The sequence below is a fragment of the Homo sapiens genome, chromosome 3, assembly GCF_000001405.40.
Source record: "Homo sapiens chromosome 3, GRCh38.p14 Primary Assembly".
Classification (NCBI taxonomy): Eukaryota; Metazoa; Chordata; class Mammalia; order Primates; family Hominidae; genus Homo; species Homo sapiens.
The window spans coordinates 53,678,908-53,701,701 of NC_000003.12; the positions used below are offsets into that span (position 1 = coordinate 53,678,908).

A 22,794-nucleotide genomic window follows, 5' to 3' on the forward strand; every position below is an offset into this window, starting at 1 on the left:
TTTCTAAGTGGAGACATATCCTCTGGGAATAGGCATTCTTATACATTTTTCATGACTGAGATTAGATTTTTCTCTCATTTGGCCAGGCACAGTGGCTCACGCCTATAATCCCAGCACTTTCGGAGGCCGAGGCAGCTGGACCACCCGAGATCAGGAGTTTGAGACCAGCCTGACTAAGGCAGTGAAACCCTGTCTCTACTAAAAATACAAAAATTAGCCAGGCATGGTGGCGCATGCCTGTAATCCCAGCTACTTGGGAGGCTGAGGCAGGAGAATCACTTGAACCAGGGAGGTGGAGATTGCAGTGAGCCAAGACTGCACCATTGCATTCCAGCCTGGGTGACAAGAGCAAAACTCCATCTCAAAAAAAAAAAAAAAAAAAAAAAAAAAAAAAAAAAAAGACTTTTCTCTCATTCAACACTTTACCAGCATCTACTGACAGAAAATGGACAATTGAATTTCCTCCAATATATATACCTCTGATATGTCTGCTTTGTAAAAGAGTAGTGTAATTGCTTACAACATTGAAAAGGTTGTTATTGGGGTCCTGGGGTAGCCAGGATATCGGCATGATTTGTCACCATATTCAGAATAAAACTGTACTGCAATAGTGAGTTAATTCCATATCTTGGCCAACAGAGAATTTTTGGCCAGTGGCTACTAAGGCACACGGAAGTCCAGTCTAAAAGGGACAGGGGAGGACTCTTTGTAGATAGTTCTTATGATTAAAAAATAACTTCCTATGTGTTGTAGTGATGATTAAGCTGACAGAATGCTAAAGACACCCTTAATGATTACTTGTAGCAAAGTACTTCCCCACATTTAGCTGGATTTGTCTTTGGTTTGAAGAGGCTAATACGTGAAAGATTTGTTCACAGTTGGATGTCCCCTTTTCTGAACCATGAAGTAATATTGTGAATGGAGTTGAATGCTGAGGTTAGGGTGCCGGAAAGATTCAGGGTCCTTCGGTACCCTCACATGGCTTGGCTTTGGTAGAACAAGAAACTAAGCTCTGATTTGGCTTTAAATGAGAGTGCTAAATTTCCTTTTTCTAATAAAGAACCTAGCTAAACATTTATATATACTTTTGAACACTGAACTTTCTTGTTGCAGAGTTAACAGCTGTTGGGGGTAGCTGACAGCTGGATCCTGGTGCTGTTGGTACCATGGTACCTGAAGTGCACAGGCTGGTAGCCACACCTGACATTAACAAGTGAGTGGTAACCTCTCTGCCGCTGGCTTACAGCTACTGTTTCCATAGAAATGGCTGTCGGGATCAGTGGAAACGAGGTAAGTGAAAGTTTTCGCTGATCCTTGTTTCCATCAAGCTGACGTCTGTTTCCCTGGCAACAGCAGTGGACAGCAGCCAGGCGCTAGCAACAGATTCAGTAGAGCTCTCACTTGTCAGCTGTGGCTATCATCTGTTCCTGACCAAGTTCTTTTTTTTTTTTTAATAATGTACAGAAAGACCTCTGAGGACCCAGGAGGCACCTCTGGCCACATGTGCCCTCCTGGATGCTCGTTTTGCAGATGGAGAGCTGTGTGCTGAGTTGACTTCTCTGTCCGCAGTTCCCCCTCCACCTGTGCTCTGGGTTGTTGATGTGCAGGTTAGAAGAGGGAGGTTGTTGAGGGTATTAGTGTTGCAGGGGAGGCTGTTGAATCTGTTGATCCCAAATCCTAGGGGAAGAGAATTCATTACAGTGCTTTCATGCACAGACCCAGCTCTTTATAAAGCTGTTGCTACCTTAATAGTTGAAATTAAAGCCATAATTTTCCTGTGGTCCCTATTCAATTGGAGGCATTAACAATTGCCATTACTTTTACAATGAAAAGGATATTTAGGAGTTTAATAATTTGGCTTGTGAGAAACAAATTGATGATTGTCTCTAAGATGCTACTGTCAACATTATGCTTTTTTTCTCTTTTGTGTAATATTCTTTTACAGGATGGTAAAATTGCTTTTACAGAGATCAAATATTGGTATTGCAGGGCAGCTTGGTATACAAAGACCAGTAGATCTATAGTGTAGGGAACTCTTCCTTGTTAAAGTTCAACAGCTCCTTTTCTGGATTTCATTTTAATGTTTCAACAGATGGATGCACCCAAGCCCTAGCCCTAAGTATTCTCCACCCATATGAGACAGCATTGATGGTGCCACAGAGCAAAGGAGAGCCACTGTTCCTGCCCTGGTGTGTGAGATGAGAGGCATGGAATGAGGTGTTGGTTTTAAGCCCTTACTGATACCATTTATTAAAGAGATTTTCTCTGGAAAAAACAAAACAGCTTTGATATTCAGAGCTGTATTTTTGAGACTCAAATGAACATAAAGATCCACGGTCTTATGAGAACTTAGATCGGCTGCTAGAAGAGCATTGGAGAACCATGGAGTTTTGTCTTTGGAGGGCTTTCCGGATGACATTGTTCCACAGCTCTCTGGAAATAGGGCAACTGTGCTTGGCCTGCAGGCAGTTGAATTTGATATAACAGACGAATAAGAAGCAGAAAATCCTGCTGGATCCTTTTTTCTCCCTCTCTCTTAACTTCCTAAGAATGACTTATTCATTTAATGAATTTTTTTTCAGTTCCTACACAGTGGTAGATGTATGCCAAGTGCCCTGCTAGGCACTGGGGTTACAGTGGTGGAATGTAGGCACTGGGTAGGCACCAGGATTACAGTGGTGGGATGTAGGCACCAGGGTTACGGTGGTGGGATGTAGGCACCGTGTAGGCACTGCAGTGACAGTGTGGAATGAAATGGTTTCTTTCTTCGTGAAGCTTATATCTAATGATGGAGGCCAAAATGACAATTACAAACTCGTATAAATGCTTTGAAAGAAAGGTTCATGTGCTGTGAGAGGGTTTAACAGGCACAACTGCTGTCAGTTTATTGGGTAGGAGCATCCTGGAAGTGAAGAATGAGTAGTCCACATATCCAGGCAAGGTGGGACAAGAAGCTAGGGCAAGGGTATTCTAGTCAAGGGAAAACCCACAGAAAGGAGGTACAGTAGGAAGGAGCAGAGGATGCTGGAGGAACTGAATGAAGCTAGGGTGACAGGAACTGGGAGAGCTGGAGATGAAGTCAGATGAAAGGAAAGAGACTGGCCGGCAGAATCCAGGTCACGTAGGACCTTTAGACTATGTCACAGGTTTTGGTCATTAGCTGAAGGGTAAGAGAATGCATGGATGAATTTTAAGCAGGGAGTGATATTCAAATTTACATTTTCTAAAAATTATGCTGTATTCTCATATCCTCAACTTACCTTAAAATGCTTCAAAAAGATAAGATGATTAATAGATGGATAGGGGGATGCAGAGATAGGTGATAAAGAAAATGTAGCAGCTGGGTGCTGTGGCTTGCACCTGTAATCCGAGCAATTCAGAAGGGTGAGGTGGAAGGGTTGCTTGAGGCCGGGAGTTTGAAACCAGCCTGGGCGACATAGCGAGGCTTTGTCTCTGGTAAAAAAAAAAAAAAAAAAAAAAAAAAAAAAACAGAAGTCTTTTTAGCTGGGCAATGTGGTGTGTGCCTATAGTCCCAGCTACTCAGGAGGCTGAGACAGGAGGATCGCTTGAGCCTAGGAGTTTGAGGTTGCAGTGAGCTATGATCATGCTTCTGCACTCCAGCCTGGGGAGCAGAGTGAGACCCTGTCTTAAAAAAAAAAAAGAAGAAGAAGAAAAGGTAGCAGGTGTTAATTATGGAATCTAGGTGAGGTAGGCATATGGGTGTTCATTGTATAATTGTTTCTACTTTTATGGATGTTTGAAATTCTTCCTAATAAAATGTTGGGAAAATCTGCATATGAAAATCACTGTGGCTGCAGTAATATGAATAGATTGGATGGATACACAAATGGATGTAGAGAGACCAACTTAAGGCTCATATAATCTGCTTCCAGCCACAACATACTAGTGCTACCAGACTGGACCTTTCACCATAAACAACTACAAAAGACTGGGCAAAAAATAGGAAGCAACTATTTTCAGAAAATGGAAATAGGATATACAGGATTGCAATCCCTACGAGAAGGGAAACACATGAGGTAAACTCCGCAGTTGTCCTGGCTTTCTGCCTGGAGACAGTTTTAGAATTATGGCAGAGAGGGAGAGCCCAGCAGAGAACGATGGTCTATTTGCTGAGGGGTCAAAGAACAGTGTTCAGGGCTGCTAAGATAGCTGGGATTTTCAGGGCAGAGTATGGGTGAGAAGTATGCAGAGAAGGGGCTCCAGTACTCAGAGTGGAGGTTCTTTGAAATCTGACCATATACTAAGCTGCTTCTGTGCCAGGTGATACTTATTGAAGCCAGGCAGAGAACAGCTAGTAGAATGCTGTAAGTGGTTGGAAATCTCTCCGTGCTGGGAGGTATATGGTTCTGCTCAGCTGTAGTGGAAGGACCTAATTGAATACATTGGGTACTGAGACTTCAGAAACGCCAGGCTTTAGGGTTGGAGCTACTTTAGCCCTTGAGTAAGCCTACTGTAGACCTGACTTAAAAAGCATAGAAACAAGCTTCAAAAGGATCAGGGAAATGGCCAATAAATTAAACACCTGTCAAAAAGACAAAAATCAACACTCGTTAAAGGAAGAGACCAAAACTCAGATGTTCCCAGAATGTTTTTCCTCATGACCCAAAACTATAAGACATGAAAAGAAGCAGGAAAATATTCACGATCAAGGAGGGAAAAGTCGATAGAAACAAAAGATGACAGATGTTGCAATTAATAATCAAAGACTTTGAAGTCACTACTATGAGCCTGTTTAAGGAACTGAAGGAAAAGATGGACATAATAAAAGAATAGGTAAATCTCAGTAGGTAAATAGAAACAGTACAATATCTGAAAAAAGTAGACTGGACATTGCAGAAAAAGTTGATGAGGGCTTAGTGATCTCTAAAACAACAATAAGCAATCTGGTGTATATGAAATTGGAGTCACAGGAGAATAAAGAGATTGAGGAAGAAAAATTTTAAGATAAATAAAGCTGAACATGTTGCAAGTATTGAAAACTAAGTTAACAGATCCAAAAGGCCCAACAAACCTCAAGCAGGGGAAACACAAAGGGAACCACTGCTAAGCACATCAAATTTAGATGGCTGAAAGTAAAAGATCCAGAGAATTTTAACAGAAAGCAAATGGGAAAGGGCACATTACATACTAGGAGAAAATAATAAGAATATGCATTTACTTGTTTGCAGATATAGTGCAAGTTGTAGGGCAATGGGTGACATCTTCAAAGAGGTAAAAGGAAAAACGATTCTGTATGAAGCAAGAATACCCTTCACAAAAGAAGGAAGTAGAAAAACTTTCAGGTAAACAAAATCTAAGAATTGGTCACCAACAAATTTGCACTCTAAGAAATGTTAAAGGAGGTTCTTCAGGCTAGAAGAAAATAATACCAGATAGAAACGTTAAATGTCCGCTTTAAAAACGAGGAGCATGGCCGGGCACGGTGGCTTACACCTCTAATCCCAGCACTTTGGGAGGCTGAGGCAGGCAGATCACCTGAGGTGGGGAGTTTGAGACTAGCCTGACCAACATGGAGAAACCCCGTCTCTACTAAAAATACAAAAAATTAGCTGAGAGTGGTGGCGCATGCCTGTGGTCCCAGCTACTCTGGAGGCTGAGGCAGGAGAATCGCTTGAACCTGGGAGGTGGAGGTCGTGGTGAGCTGAGGTCACGCCACTGCACTCCAGCCTGGGCAACAAGAGTGAAACTCTGTCAAAAAAAAAAAAAAAAAAAAAAAGCATCAAAATGGCAAACAAAGATAAAAGATTTTTTCTCATTTCTAAATTTTCTAAAAGATAATTTAAAGTAAGCACAAGGTATTATGGGAACTGTAACAGGTCAAAGTAAATTATAGGATAACCATACACAGAAGATAGAAGGAAGTTAAATGGAGCTTCACTGTGATAAAGTTACTACATTTTGAAATAATATGAATTCATGGTAGACTGAGAACTTAAGGATGCATATGATAATCTCCAGAGTAATGACTTAAAAGGGGTACTAAAAAGCTAAAAGAAGAGATAAAATGGAATATTAAATAGTACTAAATTATCCAAAATAAGTCAGAAAAGGAAGAAAAAGGAACAAAGAACATATAGTACCAACAACGAGATGGTAGACAAACCCAGTAATATCAATAATTGCATTGGACGAAAATGTACACAACATTTTAGTTAAAAGATAGAAATTGTCAGACTAAATAAAAATTTAAGATGCTATAAAGACATGGATTAAAAATAAAAAATGGATGAACTGTACTAATCCACACAAGTTGGACTTTAGTATAAGGAACATTTCCAGAAATAGGGACATTTCAGAAATAGACATTTTATTCTCATAAAAAGGTCAATTCACTGAGAAGACACAATGATCCTAAATGTGTTGGCACCTAAATACAGCTTGAGAGTACATGAAGCAAAAGTTGTTAAAATTAAGTGGAGAAATTGATAAATCTAGAAACATAGATGAAAATTTGTATCATTCCTTCTCAATAATTACTAGGTTAAAAACAGCAAATATAGATAATATCTAGATTATATTTAGATTGGTTAATAAATTCAGCCAACTTGACCTAATTGATATTTATAAAATACTGTGTTCAATAATTGCGGAATACACATTCTTTTCAGAGCACGTGGAACATTCACCGACATAGACCATATCTTGGCCATGAAAGTCTCATTACCTCTCGATTGAAATTTTACAAAGTATCTTTGTTCTAATGGCAGTAGATTTAAAACAGAAGCCAATAACAGGCTGTTTATAAACCTTCCCAAATGTTTGGAAATTAAATAACCTATAACTCAAAAAATAATAAAAATTAGAAAATACTTTGAAACTGATAAAATCCAACTGGGAAATTGTATGATCCGTTGAATGCAGTGCTTGGAGGGACATTTATAGCTATATCAGTAAGGAAGAAAGGTTTAAACTCAGTAGTTCTACATTTCCATCTACTAATCTAGAAAAAGAAGACCAAATAAGTCCAAGGTAAGTAGAAAAAAGAATAACAGAAGTAAATAAAATAGAAAACACAAATTATAAAGTTATTTAGAAAGCGTAATAAAAATTGATAAATCTCTAACAAAACTAATCAAAAAAGGAAAAAGAGCAAATTACCAGTTTTATAAATGAAAGAGGAGATACCACAGATATTACAGACATTAAAATAATAAGAGAATAAACTTGGTAACTTAGGAGAAACAGGCAAATTCCTTGAAATACACAGCCTACCAAGAAATAAATTGGGAGAGTCCTATATTTGCCTTTTTAAATGGAATTCAGAATCGCAAACAGAATCGCAAACAGAATCTTCTCTCAATCTTCTCTCAAAGAAAATTAGAAGCCTAGATGAGGTCAAAAGTGAATTATGTCAGCCGATTTAGAAAAAAATTATACCATCCCTAGAAATTCTTTCAGGTAGTAAAGTTGGAGGGAGCATTTCCCAACTCATGAGGCCAAAATCTCAATACCAAAACTTTACAAAGACATAATAAGCACAGTGTCCTTCATTAATTTGGACACAAAAATTCTCAAATATTAGCAAATAGAATATAGCAGGATGAAAGGAATAATATCTCATGGCCAAGTGGGATTTATGCCAGAAATAAGTTGATTCACCATTGGAAAATCAAATAATTTACCATATTAATAGAATGAAAGAGGAAATCATACGATCACCTCAGTAAATGCAGACATTACTAACAATATTCTATAATGATTTCTAATAACTCTCAGCAAACTAAGAATATGCAAAAACTTCCTCAGCCTGAAAAAAAAACTATAGCTGACAACATACTTATTGGTGAAAGACTCAATCTTTTCTTCTTAAGATTAGGAACAAAGTAACCATTTTTCTATCTTCTTTTATTCAATGTTTTATTGAAAGTCTGAAGGTAAGACAAAGAGATAAAAGGCAGAAAGATTGGAAAGAAAGAAAAAACTATTTCTATTTACAGACATAATTGTCTACATAGAAAGTCCCAATAATTGAACCAAAAACCTGCTAGAATTAATAAATGAGTATAGCAGGGTGACAGGATACAAAGTCAGTATACAAAATTCCATTTTATTCCTGTATACAAGCTGCAGGTGTTGAAAATGAAATTTTAAAAAATTACCATCAAAAATTATTTACAATAGCATTCCTAATAGGAATGAATATAAGAAAAGATATGGAAGACCTCTACACTGAAAACTACAAAACACTGATTAGTAAAATTACAATGATCTAAATAAATGAAGATATACCATGCCCATGGATTGAAAGACTCAATATTGTTAAGATGTCCATTTTTCTCTATGCATTGAATGTTGTCCCATTTATAAATCTCAATAGCCTTTCTTTTAGAAACTGACAAGCTTATTCTAAAACTAATATATAATTGCAAATGACCTCTAATGAAAACAATCATAAAAAATAAAGAAGGAGGGCTTATACTGCTGATTTCAAAATTTACTGTAAAGCTGTAATAAATACAATGTTTGACATAAAGATAGATGACTAGAATAACTGAATGGAATAACAAATTCAGAAATTCCTTTATATGTTCAATTGCTTTTTGATAAAGGTGCTAGATAATTCAGTGGAGAAAGGATACTCTTTTTAGTTAAAAAAAAAAAAATAAGCTGGAGAAACTGGGTATCTGCAAAAAGTGTGATGCTCAGGTCATACCAGACACAAACATTAAACTTGAAATCGATCATAGATCTAATTAAAAAGCTAAACATATAAATATTTTCTAAATAGATTTCTGCTCTTCAAAGACTAGAAATTTAAAGGGAAACCACACTGGGAGAAAATACAACACTTACATCTGTGTATCTAGAATATGTGAAGAACTCTTAACAACTAGATAATAGATGAGCAACTCAAAAATTGGCAAAACATACTTTACACAAGAATGTATATGAGTAGCCAGTAAGTACACATTAAAGATGTTCTATGTCATAAACCATCAGGGAAGTACAAGTTAAGAAACTGCTACATAGATAGTACAATAGCTAAAATCAAAAAGACTATTTCCAAGTGTCACCAAGAGTACAGAGCAACTGATATGCTCATACATTGTTTATAGAAACATAAAATGATACAACTACTTTAGCAAAGTTTGTCAGTATCTCATAAAGTTAAACATATACTCACCATATGGCCAAGCAATTCCATTTCTAGTATTTGCCCAAGAGAAATGAAAATCTATGTCTACAAAATGACTAGTACATGAGCACTCATAGAGCCTTATTCATAGTAGCCCCTGTGGGGCTGTTGGAAGCTTCAGTCTCCACAGACTCGGCCTTGGGTGGAGGTCCGCCCAGCTGGGGTGAGGCAGTGATCTGGCTGCGAGCTGTGCCACCCTGGCCTGTGGGGTCTCTGCTGGCTGAGGGATTACTGGTTTCTCTGTTGTAGTGAGGGGAGCACAAAGGCAGGGGTCAGAAGTGCTGGCCCGTGTGCTTGCTCTGTACTTACAGAGGCATGACTTCTTTGGTCAGTATACTTCACGTTTCCAAATCAAGGCTTTTTCTTCCTAAAATTGGAGCGCCCCATCTCTGACTTTTCTCACAGAGCCATCCTAATAACCAAGGAGAGAAATGGATGGGAAGGGCCTGGATAAACGGGAAGACCTTTCCAAGTATGTGGGAGCTCCACACTGGCCTGGTTGTGTCCTCCTCCTCGGAGGTCATTTCTGTGAGCTGGAAAAGTCATCTCATTTGCAGTCTGGATGTTTATCTGCACTTCTCTCCAGGGCCTCACATCCTTCCAAGACCTGGAGCGGCACTTGGCGCATTAGCCTGATTTCTCTAAGTCTGACTGTCATGAGTTTGGTTTTGGGTTCAGGGATAAAACATTAATCCACAGTGAACCCATCATTCCTTCGAATTTCTGCTTTAAAATAAATCTTGGTTTAAGTTGCCTGCTGGCAGTTTTGGGCCTCTGAGTCTTGGAGACCCTTGCTGTGTCTGAAGGATTTTAAGTCAGTGGGTGAGAGTACACCACCTGCTGAGAGGTGTACTGTCCCCAGAGGCCCACCTGTCCTTAAATCATGGACTATTACTTACAAACAGGCCCACAGACACATGCCAAGAATTCCAGGGCCCAGTGTAGATTCCAGCAGCTGCACTCTGTCCCCCTTTGGCTATCAGTCAAGGATGTTTCAGCGTCAAACCTGTACCTATCAGTATGCCCTAGGAGCACAGCAGAGGGTTGGCAAGTCAGAGGGCCTCACCCAAGGAAGCTGGGCTCCAGTTGGGCATTGAAGGATGGACAGGATTCGTTAGGATGGTAAAGAAAGGAAGCAAGTTGTCAGGAGAGTGGGACCTGGTGCCTCCTGCCTGTCGGAACCAGTGAGTGCAATGGTGAGGCTGCCAGGGTGCTCCGTGCTGGCTGGTGAGCAGTGGGCAGAGCAGATGTGCAGTTGGGAATACCCACTGAGAGAGGCAGGGTTTTTTTTTTTTTCTTTAAGCTGCGGGAGCTGTCAGAGTGTTTGAAATAAGGTGATGGTTGACAGCTGTGCCTGGAAGGTAAAGCTGCCACCTCCCAGAGTGCAGTGGAGTTAGGAGAGCCTGGGGGCTGGGGGCTGGGGGCTGCAGGGATGGGGTCTGCATGGAGGTGCAGAGGTGGAGATGGAAGTGAAGGTATAGATGTGGGAGTTTGTTGTGGCTCGTGCCTCTCAGATAAGAAGAGGTCTCTGGATTTTGATTGTCAAGTCTGGGGATGTGGATTGTATGAGAGAATTTTTCTTTTTTCTTTTCTTTTTAAAAATATTTTTTATAGAGACAGGTCTTGCTCTGTCACCCAGGCAGCAGTGCAATGGTGCGATTGTAGCTCATTGCAGCCTCAAATTTCTGGGCTCAAGCAATCCTCCCACTTCACCCTCCCAAGTAGCTGGGACTACAGGCATATGCCACCATGCCCAGCTAATTTTAAAACTATTTTTTGTAGAAACAGGATCTCTCTATGTTGCCTGGCTGGTCTCAGGTTCTGGCCTCAAGCTATCCTCCTGCCTTGGCTTCTCAAAGCCCTGGAATTACAGGTATGAGCCACTGCACCCGGCTAGATTTTTTTTTAATTGCTTATAATCCTGTGCTTTATTCAGTTTATTTTAATCATCTCCACTACTTTGATGAGGTAAGTGTTCTTTGCCTCAGTTTACAGATGAGGAAATCAAGACTCAGGGAGGTTTATCAATTTTCTCAAAATTTACACAGCTAGTAAGTAGTTAAACTAGGAATTAAATCTAGATCTGTCTGTCTCCAGAGCCCAAGCTGCTTTTCTCGTCAGTTGGAAGCTGGTTCTAAGTCTGGTGAGAGGAAACCCGCTGTGGGACCCTGTCTTCCCAGCCTGGGTCTGTGCTCGTACATCCTCAGCTGCTGTATTCTCAAAGCTCTATGCTTTGTCGTTTTTGTTTTTGTTTTCTCTTCCTGAAATTAATTACCCAATGCTGAGTGGAACAATGGGATACAGAGGCTTCAGAGAAATTGGTTTAGTTTTCCTCTTGAATCTGCTTTTGGACAAGTCTCATTTGAGCTCAGGTGGTCCTTTTGGGTCCTGTTGCTGGAGGGTGGATCTCTCAGTCTCTGAGCCCAGCCCTGGGGTGTGGTGCTCTGCCCCTTGTTCTCCGTCAGCCAAGTCTGGGTGCTCTGGGAAGGTACTTCCCACCCACCGTGCCTTTCAGTGGGCACTCCCCCTGCGGGGGGATCTTCTCTATCCCTCTCCTCTCTAGATGCAGCTCACAGGGTGGTTTCCGTGGCCTGCGAGTGGGATTTGGGCTGAATTTCCTACAGTGACTGCTTTAGGGATATGCCAGTAGGGGGTTCAATTTCAGCCCCTTCCTTGGGTCCACAGTGCTCCTCCACAGTGGGAACCCCTAGCAGCTCTGAACAGCAGATCCAGCCTCGAGCTTATTCTGGCAGTGTAACCAGGCCCTTCACACAGCAAACTGTAGTGACATGTCAGTAGCACATGCCCTGCGGTTGCTGGTGCCTTCAAAAGTGTTCATTTTAGGTGGTTCTGCCACCCTCCCAAGCCAGACTTCATGTGCACATCTTCCTTATTTTTTCTTGAAAAACTGGAATCTGACAAGTCTAGCAGAGTGTGTTTATGAAGTGACTTCTTAAGTAGCAGTATTTGAAACCTGTCATGAAGATATGTGATGATATTGGTTTGGCTCATGTGATTAAGTGATCTGTTTCGTTCAGAGAGAGTGATGGCAGAAAAGAGAGCCCATGGTTTTGAAGAATACCTCTTTTTTTTTTTTTGGGGGGGAGATGGAGTCTTGCTCTTGGAGTACAATGGCGCGATCTCAGCTCACTGCAACTTCCGCCTCCTGGGTTCAAGAGATTCTCCTGCCTCAGCCTCCCAAGTAGTTGGGATTACAGGTGCACACCACTACGCCTGGCTAATTTTTGTATTTTTAGTAGAAATGGGGTTTCCCTATGTTGGCCAGGCTGGTGTTGAGCTCCTGACCTCAGGTGATCTGCCCGTCTCGGCCTCCCAATTGAAGAATACCTCTTAAAACATGTTTAAGTTTTAAAAAGATTGAAACAAAGTCTGTAACTTTTAGCATGCAACCTTCATGGATTCTCATCATTGGGAAAAATTTTCTACTGGAAGCATTGGCATGTCTTTTGTAGCCATGGAAACTAACCCTTCAAAGAGAGAGAAGCTCTTCTATCCTCAAACAAGGAGATACAGTGAAAGGAAGGCATATTTCATACTCAGATGCCTGAAATACTTTATTTCTGTGTGAGTGTGTGTGTGTGTATATATGTAATATATATATTGCAGATATATATTACATATATAATATATATATTACATATATAATATATATATTACATATATAATATATATTACATATAATATATATATTATATCTATAATATATATATTACATATATAATATATATTATATATTATATCTATAATATATATTACATATATAATATATAATATATATTATATATATTACATATAATATATATTATATATATTACATATATTATATATAATATATATTATATATATTATATATATATTTTAAGGCTTATACAAGACTCCTGCTTGTTTTTGTTTATCAATGGCACGATGGGTGTAGTTTTAGGTGATTGAAGTTACATATGCACTGTGGCCAAATACACCCAGTACAAAGCCCAAAGTTGCATGTCTTTGATCCTCATTAGTGTAAAGTCCATGTTTGTGAAAGCAATTATTTAGGTGATTTTTATCGAGCAACTACTAATGGCCGGGGTTTGTGATAAGGAACCAGTATACAAAGATAAGACAGACACAGCCCCTCCTTAACAGAGTTTACAGTCTGGTAAGTTAAAGAAAATAGTGAAAAACCAATTGCAGGACTGTGAAGTAAATTCTGCAAAAGCGGAGTTCTAATCTGGAGGACTCTAAGGTAGAGAAAAGTCTTTATGTCTTGAGCCAGCCGAGTGGGATAGTATCTGGAAGAGCAGGAGGGGTTATGCAGGCAACAGCATGCACAGTGGCCTGGTGTTGAAAGAGCTCCATGCCTTGGAGGAACTGAGTGAACTTTAGGATGTCTAGAGTACACAGTTCAAGGGGGAAGAGGTCAGAAAGGAGGCAGGAGAGATCTGACATGACCAGATAGGTGGTGCATTCCTTCACTCCATCCCTACCGCACTCTCCTGCTCAGGGTAAGTGCCACATGTAAACAGTTAGGTTTGGTCTGTGCAGGGTGGCCCAGCTGCTAATTCCTGTGTTCTGTTCATGGTGGATAACTCAACCTAGTCATTAAAAGCTAGGAAACACCGACTCTGAAAATGATTCATCTTCCCAAAAGATGAAAACTGTTTTAAACATCATCACCGTCTTTTATGTCAATGAAAGCATCAACAACCCTGGCTGGGCACAGTGGCTCACGCCTGTTTTCCCAGCACTATGGGAGGCTGAGGCGGGTGGATCCCTTGAGGCCAGAAGTTTGAGACTGCCCTGGCCAGCATAGAGAAACCCTGTCTACTAAAAATATTAAAAAATTAGCTGGACATGGTGGCGCACACCTGTAATTCCAGCTGCTTGGGAGGCTGAGGCACAAGAATTGCTTGAACCCAGGAGGTGGAGGGCATGCCACTGCACTCCAGCCTGGGCAGCCGAGCCCAGACCCTGTCTCAAAACTAAAAGTAAAAATAGAAATGTGATTGTCAAATGTTTTTCTTCAACATATTTTACTGTGTAAACAAGGGACCCCCATTTTCTCGTCCTTTTTGCCCACCAGCGGTTCCCATGCATTTCTTGGCAGCTGTGTTTCATGACTGCTGCTGGAGAATGCTGTCCCAGGCCAGCTGTCTTCCCCCCACAGACATTACCTGCAAAGGAGCAGGTCTTATTTATGGGGTGCTGTATTCCTAATCCCTCCCCACCCCACTCTGCCTATTGGTCTCATGCAGAGAGAACATCCTTTGGCTATCACCAGCTTTTCATGGTTGAGGGAAAAATGGAACAAATACAATGCTTTTGATGAACTATGAGCTGAGCCAGTGCCAATGATTAAAAATTTTTTAAATTGTGAAACATCACACATTGCTGTTATTTTTTTTTTTTTTTTTTACAAAATTCCTAGTTTCCTTGAACAGAAACTGAACCTTTATGCTTTCCAAGAAGTTATATTTAAACAAAAAAGTTCTTTGAATCAAACTACATTTGCATTCTGTTTCATTTCCTTCATGTCTATGTAGAGGAAATAATTTAGGTCTAAAGAAGGCTGGACTCCCCTGATAAAAATCAGTGGGTTACTTCTTCAACTTCCCCCTTCTCTTTGCCTTTATAAGTGTTGCCTTTGTTTTTTTCTGAATTTCTGAGCCTTCTGTTTTACTAAAAATCTGAGTCCCTAGTGATTTTCGTGGCAGTTTTCAATGGAGGTTATGTTGTTTTTTGCTTTGTTTCGAGGGTTTTTTGTTTTGTTTTGTTTTTTGCATGTGTATGTAAATATCAAAGTGTTTTGTTTGTTTAAATTTTATGTGGGTCTAATTAAAACAGATAGCATTGCAACACAAGAAAAAAAAATCCTGTATCTAAATCAAGATGACTTCCAGTGGCCCATTTATTTTATGGGACGTTTAAGAAATAAAAGTTCCCACAGCAAACTGCGTGTCCTCTTGCATCTGCGGCAGTCCCATTCCACCTGCACCTCTGTTTGTGTGTGATGGCTGGCTGCAGCCTGGGCGTGCTGTCTCCAGTAGTGTTGGCTGAGCCAGGGGTCCAGGAGATCAGGATGTCAGGGCCTGTAAATCCTGGGGCATGTGAGTGTCTGGTGGCCTCTCTGCAGAACATGAGGCGTGTGCCCAGCCCGTGGGGGCTCCACTGGGGCTCCTTAGATGGAGGCTGGCTGGGTCTGGGGCAAGGGGTTCTCTCCCTGGAGTGGTGCTTACTGAGTGGGAGTGAGGGACAGCAGGTGGAGAGATGAGCGGAAAGGGGGCTGTCACCTTTCTCTGTCCTGAGTTGGGGCTCTTGGGGAAAATCAGAGTGCAGTAGTGAGCAGAGCTGGGCTTTATGCCCTGTCCTCCCTCCCTGGTCCTGATTCATGACCTCCCCGTGAGCCACAGCCCCACGGAAGGGACGTAGGATTTGGAGCCTGGTTAGTAACGCTGTTGTTCTGTTGACTGGGCATATGATGTGGGCCAGCAACAATGCCTCGTTGAGCCTCCGTGTTGGCCTTTGTGAAATGGATGTGAAAATCCTCCTCCTGCCTCTTCCACTGAGGTTGTGAGCAGCCCAGGGGGCAGTGAATGTAAAGACATTTGGAGGACTCTAGGAACAATCTAAATAAATGAGGGGCTTTTTTCTGTTATTGTTAGAGAAGGGGACATGGCAGAGACTCAGGCTGTTTTGCCAAAACCCAGGTCGCTTTCCCCAGCTGTGCAGGCTCGTATTCTGCTGAAGCTGCTGTTGGTTATTCCTGGGACCCTGGGCGATGCAGTCACAGGTGAAGGACCCTGGGCGATGCAGTCACAGTGGGGTGGGCTCAGGCTGTGCTTGTTTCAGAGACGATTTTGGCTTGTTCTGCTGTGTTTGTCTATTCCATCTAAAGGTCTTTTGGGGGCTGGATGAGTATGGGGCGCATACCATTGTTCTGTCGTCAGAGCGCCCTGCAGCCATTTCTCGTGAACTCACTCAGCACTTATGCTTCTTGGGTGTCAATGCCACCAAACTACTTGGCTGCCAGGTCCAAGAGCGTGCCAGGCTGTTGCCCAGGGAAAGAAATGGGCAACAAAAAATGGACTAAGTCACAGCAGTCAGGTCCCCGTGGAGGAGGTGCTGGGGAGGCTGGAGTCGCAGCAGCAGCTGAAAGGTCTTTAGAACGTGCTGTGATCTGGTGTCGCTGCCGAGTCATTAGTCCATCTCTACTGAGGATCCCTGTCTGGGGAAGTTGCTGCATCCCAGGGCAACTGTGCTGAAATCAGTTGTCTTATTTCAAAACTTGTGCCTGTGCCCCGAGACCCTCAGCAGGCATCCTTCTTCCTTCATATGGCAGCCCTTCAGATACTGGGGACCAGCCTCTCTTCTCCATCCCTCCTCCTGCCCCGCCCAGCCCGTCCTTCTTCCCTGAACAGGTGGACAAGAAATGTTCATGTGGCAGATGGGGTGTCACGGGGCCCTGACAAGGAAGGTCCACATGAGGGGAGATGATTACACTGGTGTGCTAGACCCAGGGGACTGGTGTGGAAAGGGCAGAGGTGACAGTGACCGTAGCATGGTGGTGGTTGGGGGTCAGTGACAGGCGTCATAGGTGTTTTTCCAAATAGTCGTGTAAGAAAGTTGGGGCTTCATGAGAAGTGTGTTTTTGACCACATTGGTATTGATGTTAAATCCAACCCATCACCCAGTGCTTACTGAATGTCTCTGGTCTTCCTCAGCACCATTTTCTTCTTATTTTCATTTTCTGTTCACGCATAACACCTGTGAAAGCTGATAGGAGTCCTATCAAATTTCTGTCTGTTCCTCCTTGCCTACAGAGAAGCAATCCAGGTTCCTTAGTTTTGTATTTAAGCCCCTTTCTGGACTGACAGGAAGCCTGTTTTCGTTAGTTTTTTTGTTTGTTTGATTGTTTTTGAGACAAGGTCTCTGTCTGTCACCCAGGCTGCAGTGCAGTGGTACAGTCACAGCTCACTGCAACCTCAACCTCCCAGGCTCGGGTGATCCTCCTGCCTCAGCCTCCTGAGTAGCTGAGACCACAGGTGCATGCCATTGCACTTGGCTAACTTAAAAAAAATTATTTTGTAGAGATGGGGTCTCACTCTGTTGCCCATGCTGGTCTCGAACTCCTGGCCTCAAGCAATCCTCCCACCATCACCTCCCAAAATGTTGGTATTTCAGGCGTGAGCCTCTGTGTCTGGCCTTGTAGCCTGGTTTTGATCCTCATCCTCCTGGTGTCTACCTTCTCCTTCCTCTGCTCCTGCTTTTCCTTCCAGGCATCGTGTTGAGGTGCTTAGGGTAGATTCAGCAGCTGCATGGCCTTGTGTGCCCACGTGCTGTGAGCCTCAGTGTCTATACAAGAGGGTGATAGCAGCCCCTGCCTCCCCATAGTCACTCACCAGCGGGGATGGGGTAAGGTGTTGCTCTGGGCTCTGGTTAGGTTGCAAGGCTGAGGGGGCCACCCAGGGTAGGGGACACATGTATTCATGTTTTGGTGCTCAATGAGTAGAGTTTTCTGGTGAATTAGAGGCAGGCAGAATGCATTTGGATGGGGTAAGCCAGAGAATGTGTCACCAAAAGCATGAGACTTGAGCTTGGTCTTGAAAGGTGCACTGGATTCAAAGATGGGAGAAGGCTGCCCAGGTGGATGGAATTCTGTAGACAAAAGCTCACAGGGTTGCGGAATTGAGAAGAGTGTGGCCAGAGTATAAGGTGTGCATTTATAGGATGGGTGAATAAGGCTGGAATAGCACTTGGGAGAAGGCTGGAAGGCCTTGAGTGGCAGGCAGAAGCATCTGACCTTCATCCTTGAGGGAGGCAACAAGGAGCTGTGAGACATTCTGAGTAGGATGCCACCAGGGGGAAGTCTGGGTCTGCAGCGACCTGGAGCAGAGAGGGAAGCAAGCTCTGATGAAATGCTCTGGCCGCAGCTCCTGTGGCTGCCCAGGGAATGGGTGTGTGCAGACAGGCCTGCATAAGACACTTCACAGCTGTCCTGTTAGGCTGTTAGGGAGATTCCTTACTGAGTAATTGCTTCTCAACCAGGAGATAAAAGGGAATATCTTAATGACCTAGAGACAGAAGATCTACCACATGAGGCCTGAACACAATAAGGGAAAATGGCGAGCTGGCCGTGGAGGCTGCTCCAGATGATATGTCTAGTTTTGGGCACACTCATTTCATGCTTCTGGGCGATCCCAGCAATTGTGGGCTTTCTGTCCTATAGGGACATTTTCTGGCCTCCTGAAGGAGTAGGAGTAGGGCTTGTTTTGTTGGATACAATTTTTTGTACATAGCCTTCCTGCATGCCTATATGAAGTGGCGCCAAGGGGAAATAGAGACATGGGAAGAAATACATGAGAAATGGACAGACAACATTGTCCGTTCCTGCCTGCAAGGAGCTTACAGTCTAGCTGGTAAGCTGAAATGAATATGTAATAGCATGAATTTGAATTTGGTTAGTAGTGGAGTTATATCTTCTAAGCATTCAAATTTTTTTCTATTTGGAAATAATTTCAAATATATAGAACAACCCCAAGAATAGAAATAGCACAGTGAATAATCCATGTACCCCTTACCCCAGTTCACCTAATATTAAATTTTACCTCATTTACTTTTTCATTTGTTATCTATCCATAAGACATGTGGACTGATTTTTAAAAATATTTTATAATTTATTACTGTCCTTAGTTATTTCAGTGCTCAAATTTCCTAAGATTTGGCTAGTAGGAGCTACTTCTCTAGCTCCTGTATCCTTATGACATATCTCCATAATGTGTTTTGGTTTGTTTTTGTTTTTTGAGCACTTCCTTATTTTCTTCATCTTGTACCTACCCTACCCTTGCCCTGGAATCACCCAGTTCTCCAAAGTCCCCTGGTTCCTTTTAATGGGGAATGTTATTAGAGACCAAGATGTGGGTACCAGGTGTGCTTGTACCTGCCAGAGCATCTTTGCTTCTAAGTCCTTTCAACAGGCAGACCTAGGAAATATATGCATTTCCGTACACATATTCATACACATACTTACATTGATACATACACATACTCACATATCAGCCTCTTTTAAAAATCAGACATTGGAAATCAGACTTTAAAATAAACATCTTTTAGAAATCATCAGTTCACACCTATACCTTCAATTCCAGCCTGTCCCCAGAGGGTTCTTCTCTGTTCCGTGTTTCTGTGTCCCTCCTTCCACAGCGAGAACTCTGGCTCCCAGCAGCATTAGCACATGTACTCACTGGCTAAATCCTGTAATATGTCTAAGATAGTTTCAGAATGGTCTCATCCACATCACTGCAAAAAACAAAGCTACTGAAAAGAGTTCAGCATTTGTTTGTAGTTCATCCCTCACTCCAATCCTACCCAAGACTGAGAGTATGTCGTCAAATATTCATGAGCTATTTGAATTAGTTTTGTCTTTCTCCTTCAGTCTGGTTATGGTATTCATTTGAATTACAGATTTGTTTGTTTCAAATCACTTTCAGTTTAGGGGTATTTTCCCTTCATCTCATCCTTACTGACTTAATTTTTAAAAATTTAAGGTGAAGAACATTAACATGGTTCCCAAAGTCAAAACTATAGAAAAAGGTATACTTAAGAGTGTCACTCCAACCTTGATTCCTTTGGCCTAATTCATTCCCATCCCTTGTTTTCTGCTCTTTCTTTTAGATACACCTGAGAGAAATATGCTCCTTTTATTTCCCAGTTTTTCGTGTGTAAAGGGTAGCACACTTTATTGCTTTTTTTTTTTTTTTCATCCAGGCACTTCTTATTTATCTTTTGATCAGACACACCATAACCAAAATTCTGGTTTGGAACAAGAAGACTCCTAGCATATAACAGTTGTTGGATTTTTAGTCACTTGCAAAAGTCTGTTGGTTTCTACCAATAGCTTTATTAAATAAGCTTTGTAAAACAATCTCTTAGTAATAGGATTCTTAGAATATGATGAATTCTTATGCAAAGTGGAGTAACTTTTTTCCCATCATTGCAAAGTTTGATAGAAGGTGCCTCGGACTTGAGGTGTGATTTTCAGGATCAGAGGGTCAGTTGTGATGGGAATGGGTTATTCTCAACTGAGCAGATAGTGTACAGGATTGGCAGTGGGTTTGCCAGCTCATTGCGATCACTCTGAGCCTTGGGACCCATGTGTCCTTCTATGTGTCTCCCAATCCTAACGGGTTTGTGGCAGCTTAGAGCCCATTCACAGCTAGTGCTAATTTTTCTCCCTTTGATAATTTGAGAAAGCTCTTCCATTTGCCTTTTGAATGTCTCTCTTATGTCTGGATTCAACAACTATTATACATTTGAACTTCACGTTGATACCACTCTTTGTGTTTTCAAAGCCTTACTGAATGTCTTGCTTAATTCCTGTGAAACAGCGGAACAGGTATTGTTGTGTCTGTTTGGAAGTGAGGAAACTGAAGCTCAGAACACAGCAGTGACAGAGCTAGGACTAGAAGCCAGGTCTTCAGACGAAGAGCCCAGAGTGGTGTAGGAGGGCCAAGGATTTATCTGGGTTTATCACAGGGACTCTACCTCCCTGCCCCCTTCCTCCATCCTGCCCTGTGGCCAACAGATTTCTACTGTATAAACCTCACCTCTGTCCACATCAATAAATAATACCTTCCTGCTAAATATTCAGCCATTCAGAACTGTCTAAAATCAGTTCAGAGGGTCTATATCAGCAGCTTTGTTATATGAGCTTTTGTGATAGTGACCATCATTGTGAGTGGGCCATAAACCAGGACTTGGCAGGGTTTTTTACTCCTAGGAATTTTAGTCAGAGTAGAGTTTTACTTATGCCTGCTTACCTGTGTCCCAGCAGTGGAAAATGTACAACAGTGATGCAGCTTGTTAGAAATGGGATTTTTATATTTGTAATGTTAAAAAGGCATAAAATATTACAAAAGAAAATTAGGAAGATAGTAAAAGAGTTACCCTGAGAAGCTTAAGGACGTTCATTTTATAATGTATGTAATTATACATTATAAAATGTATATAATTATATAATTTAAAAATAAAATATAATTATATAATTATAATACATTATAAAATGTATATAATGTATGTAATTATGCATTATAAAATGAATGTCCTTAAGCTTCTCAGGGTAACTCTTTTACTATCTTCATAATTTTTTTCCCAAGAACCCATATATGATATGGACCCAAAGTAAGAATACCTTGTTTGTATGTAACCATCTGAATTTAGTATTCTAAGTTCGGAATCAAAACATGCAAACAGATTTGTACTAGGATACTTTTCTGGTGAATAATAGAACTGAAGGTCCACTTTTCTTTGAGATGTATTTAAGAAAACAGATTATATAATTCATTTTCCTGCAGATACATGACATGCCAAGCCCTCTTACTGTTGCTCAGGGATGTGATTCTGGATTGAGTTGTGATTTTTTCAGAGTTCAGAGAATCATTTGGTGAATTTACCTAGAGCTGAGTTATGTATTTCCCATGTGTCAGGAAACCCCGGAGGCCTAGAAACCCCAAACCATTCTCAGGGTGTGGTACATGTGAATGGCGAGACACTGGAGTCCTTACTTCTTTGAGACAGCAGGTGTTCTTTGGGCTGGGAGGTCAGAGCACGTGTCTGGGCTCAGATCGGCTCCTGCTCACTCTCTAGATCCACAAAGCCTGGCCTCCTTCCTTATTCACAGGGGGTGGAGTGGAGACTGACAGCCCTAACAGGACCAAGGATAGGTTCCAGGGAGTCTGGAAAGTGGGGTGATTTAGAAGCTATGAGAGGGATCCTTTCTTTTTCTTTTCTTTTTTTTTTCCTTTCTTTCTTTCTTTTTTATTTTTATTTTTATTTTTTTTGAGATGGAGTCTTGCTCCGTTGCCCAGGCTGGAGTGCAATGGTGCAATCTCAGCCCGCCGCAACCTCTGTCTGAGTGGGATTCTTTCTAATTGTGGGCAGAGGGTGGCACTTGGTGAGGATTCCAGTTTCTTATCTGAAGTATTAGTGTCACTGGGTGTGCAAGCATCTGTTCAGCCCCTCGACAGCCTAGAGTTAAGAGACGGGTGTGAATATGGGGTTAGTTTTGTTGTTGTTGTTATTATTATTATTATTATTTTGGAGACAGCGTCTTGCTCTGTTGCCCAGGCTGGAATGCAGTGGCATGAACTTGGCTCACTGCAACCTCTGCCTCCCAGGTTCAAGCAATTCTCTTGCCTCAGCCTCCTGAGTAACTGGGACTGCACCACCATGCCCAGCTAATTCTTTTTATTTTAGTAGAGATGGGGTTTCACCATGTTGACCAGGCTGGTCTCAAACTCCTGACCTCATGATCCACCCACCTTGGCTTCCCAAAGTGCTGGGATTACAGGCGTGAGCCACCGTGCCTGGCTGGGGTTAGCTTTATGAAAGCAGGTCACTTCCCCATTCGTGGGTTGGGTTGGGTTGAGTTGGGTTGGGTTGGCTTATCGAGGTAGGACCCTGAAAGAGACATGCTGGCTTTGACTCGGAACAAAGGCAAGAAGGCAGACAGAAGTAACCTGTGTCAGAATCTCAAGGTCTGTGTGCAGAAACTGCATTGCTGTAACCTCACCTGCTTCCTTGGCAGCTTTTTACTAAGTCTCTAACTCACATATCTTGGCTCCTATAACAACTCACGGTTG

The 22,794-nt window shown here is 41.8% G+C and overlaps 1 protein-coding gene across 22 annotated transcripts in view; it reads left to right on the plus strand.

The window, feature by feature from the left end:
- CACNA1D (calcium voltage-gated channel subunit alpha1 D) overlaps positions 1-22,794 on the plus strand; it is a 319,123-nt gene that overhangs the window by 184,297 nt on the left and 112,032 nt on the right. The window lies entirely within an intron of this gene.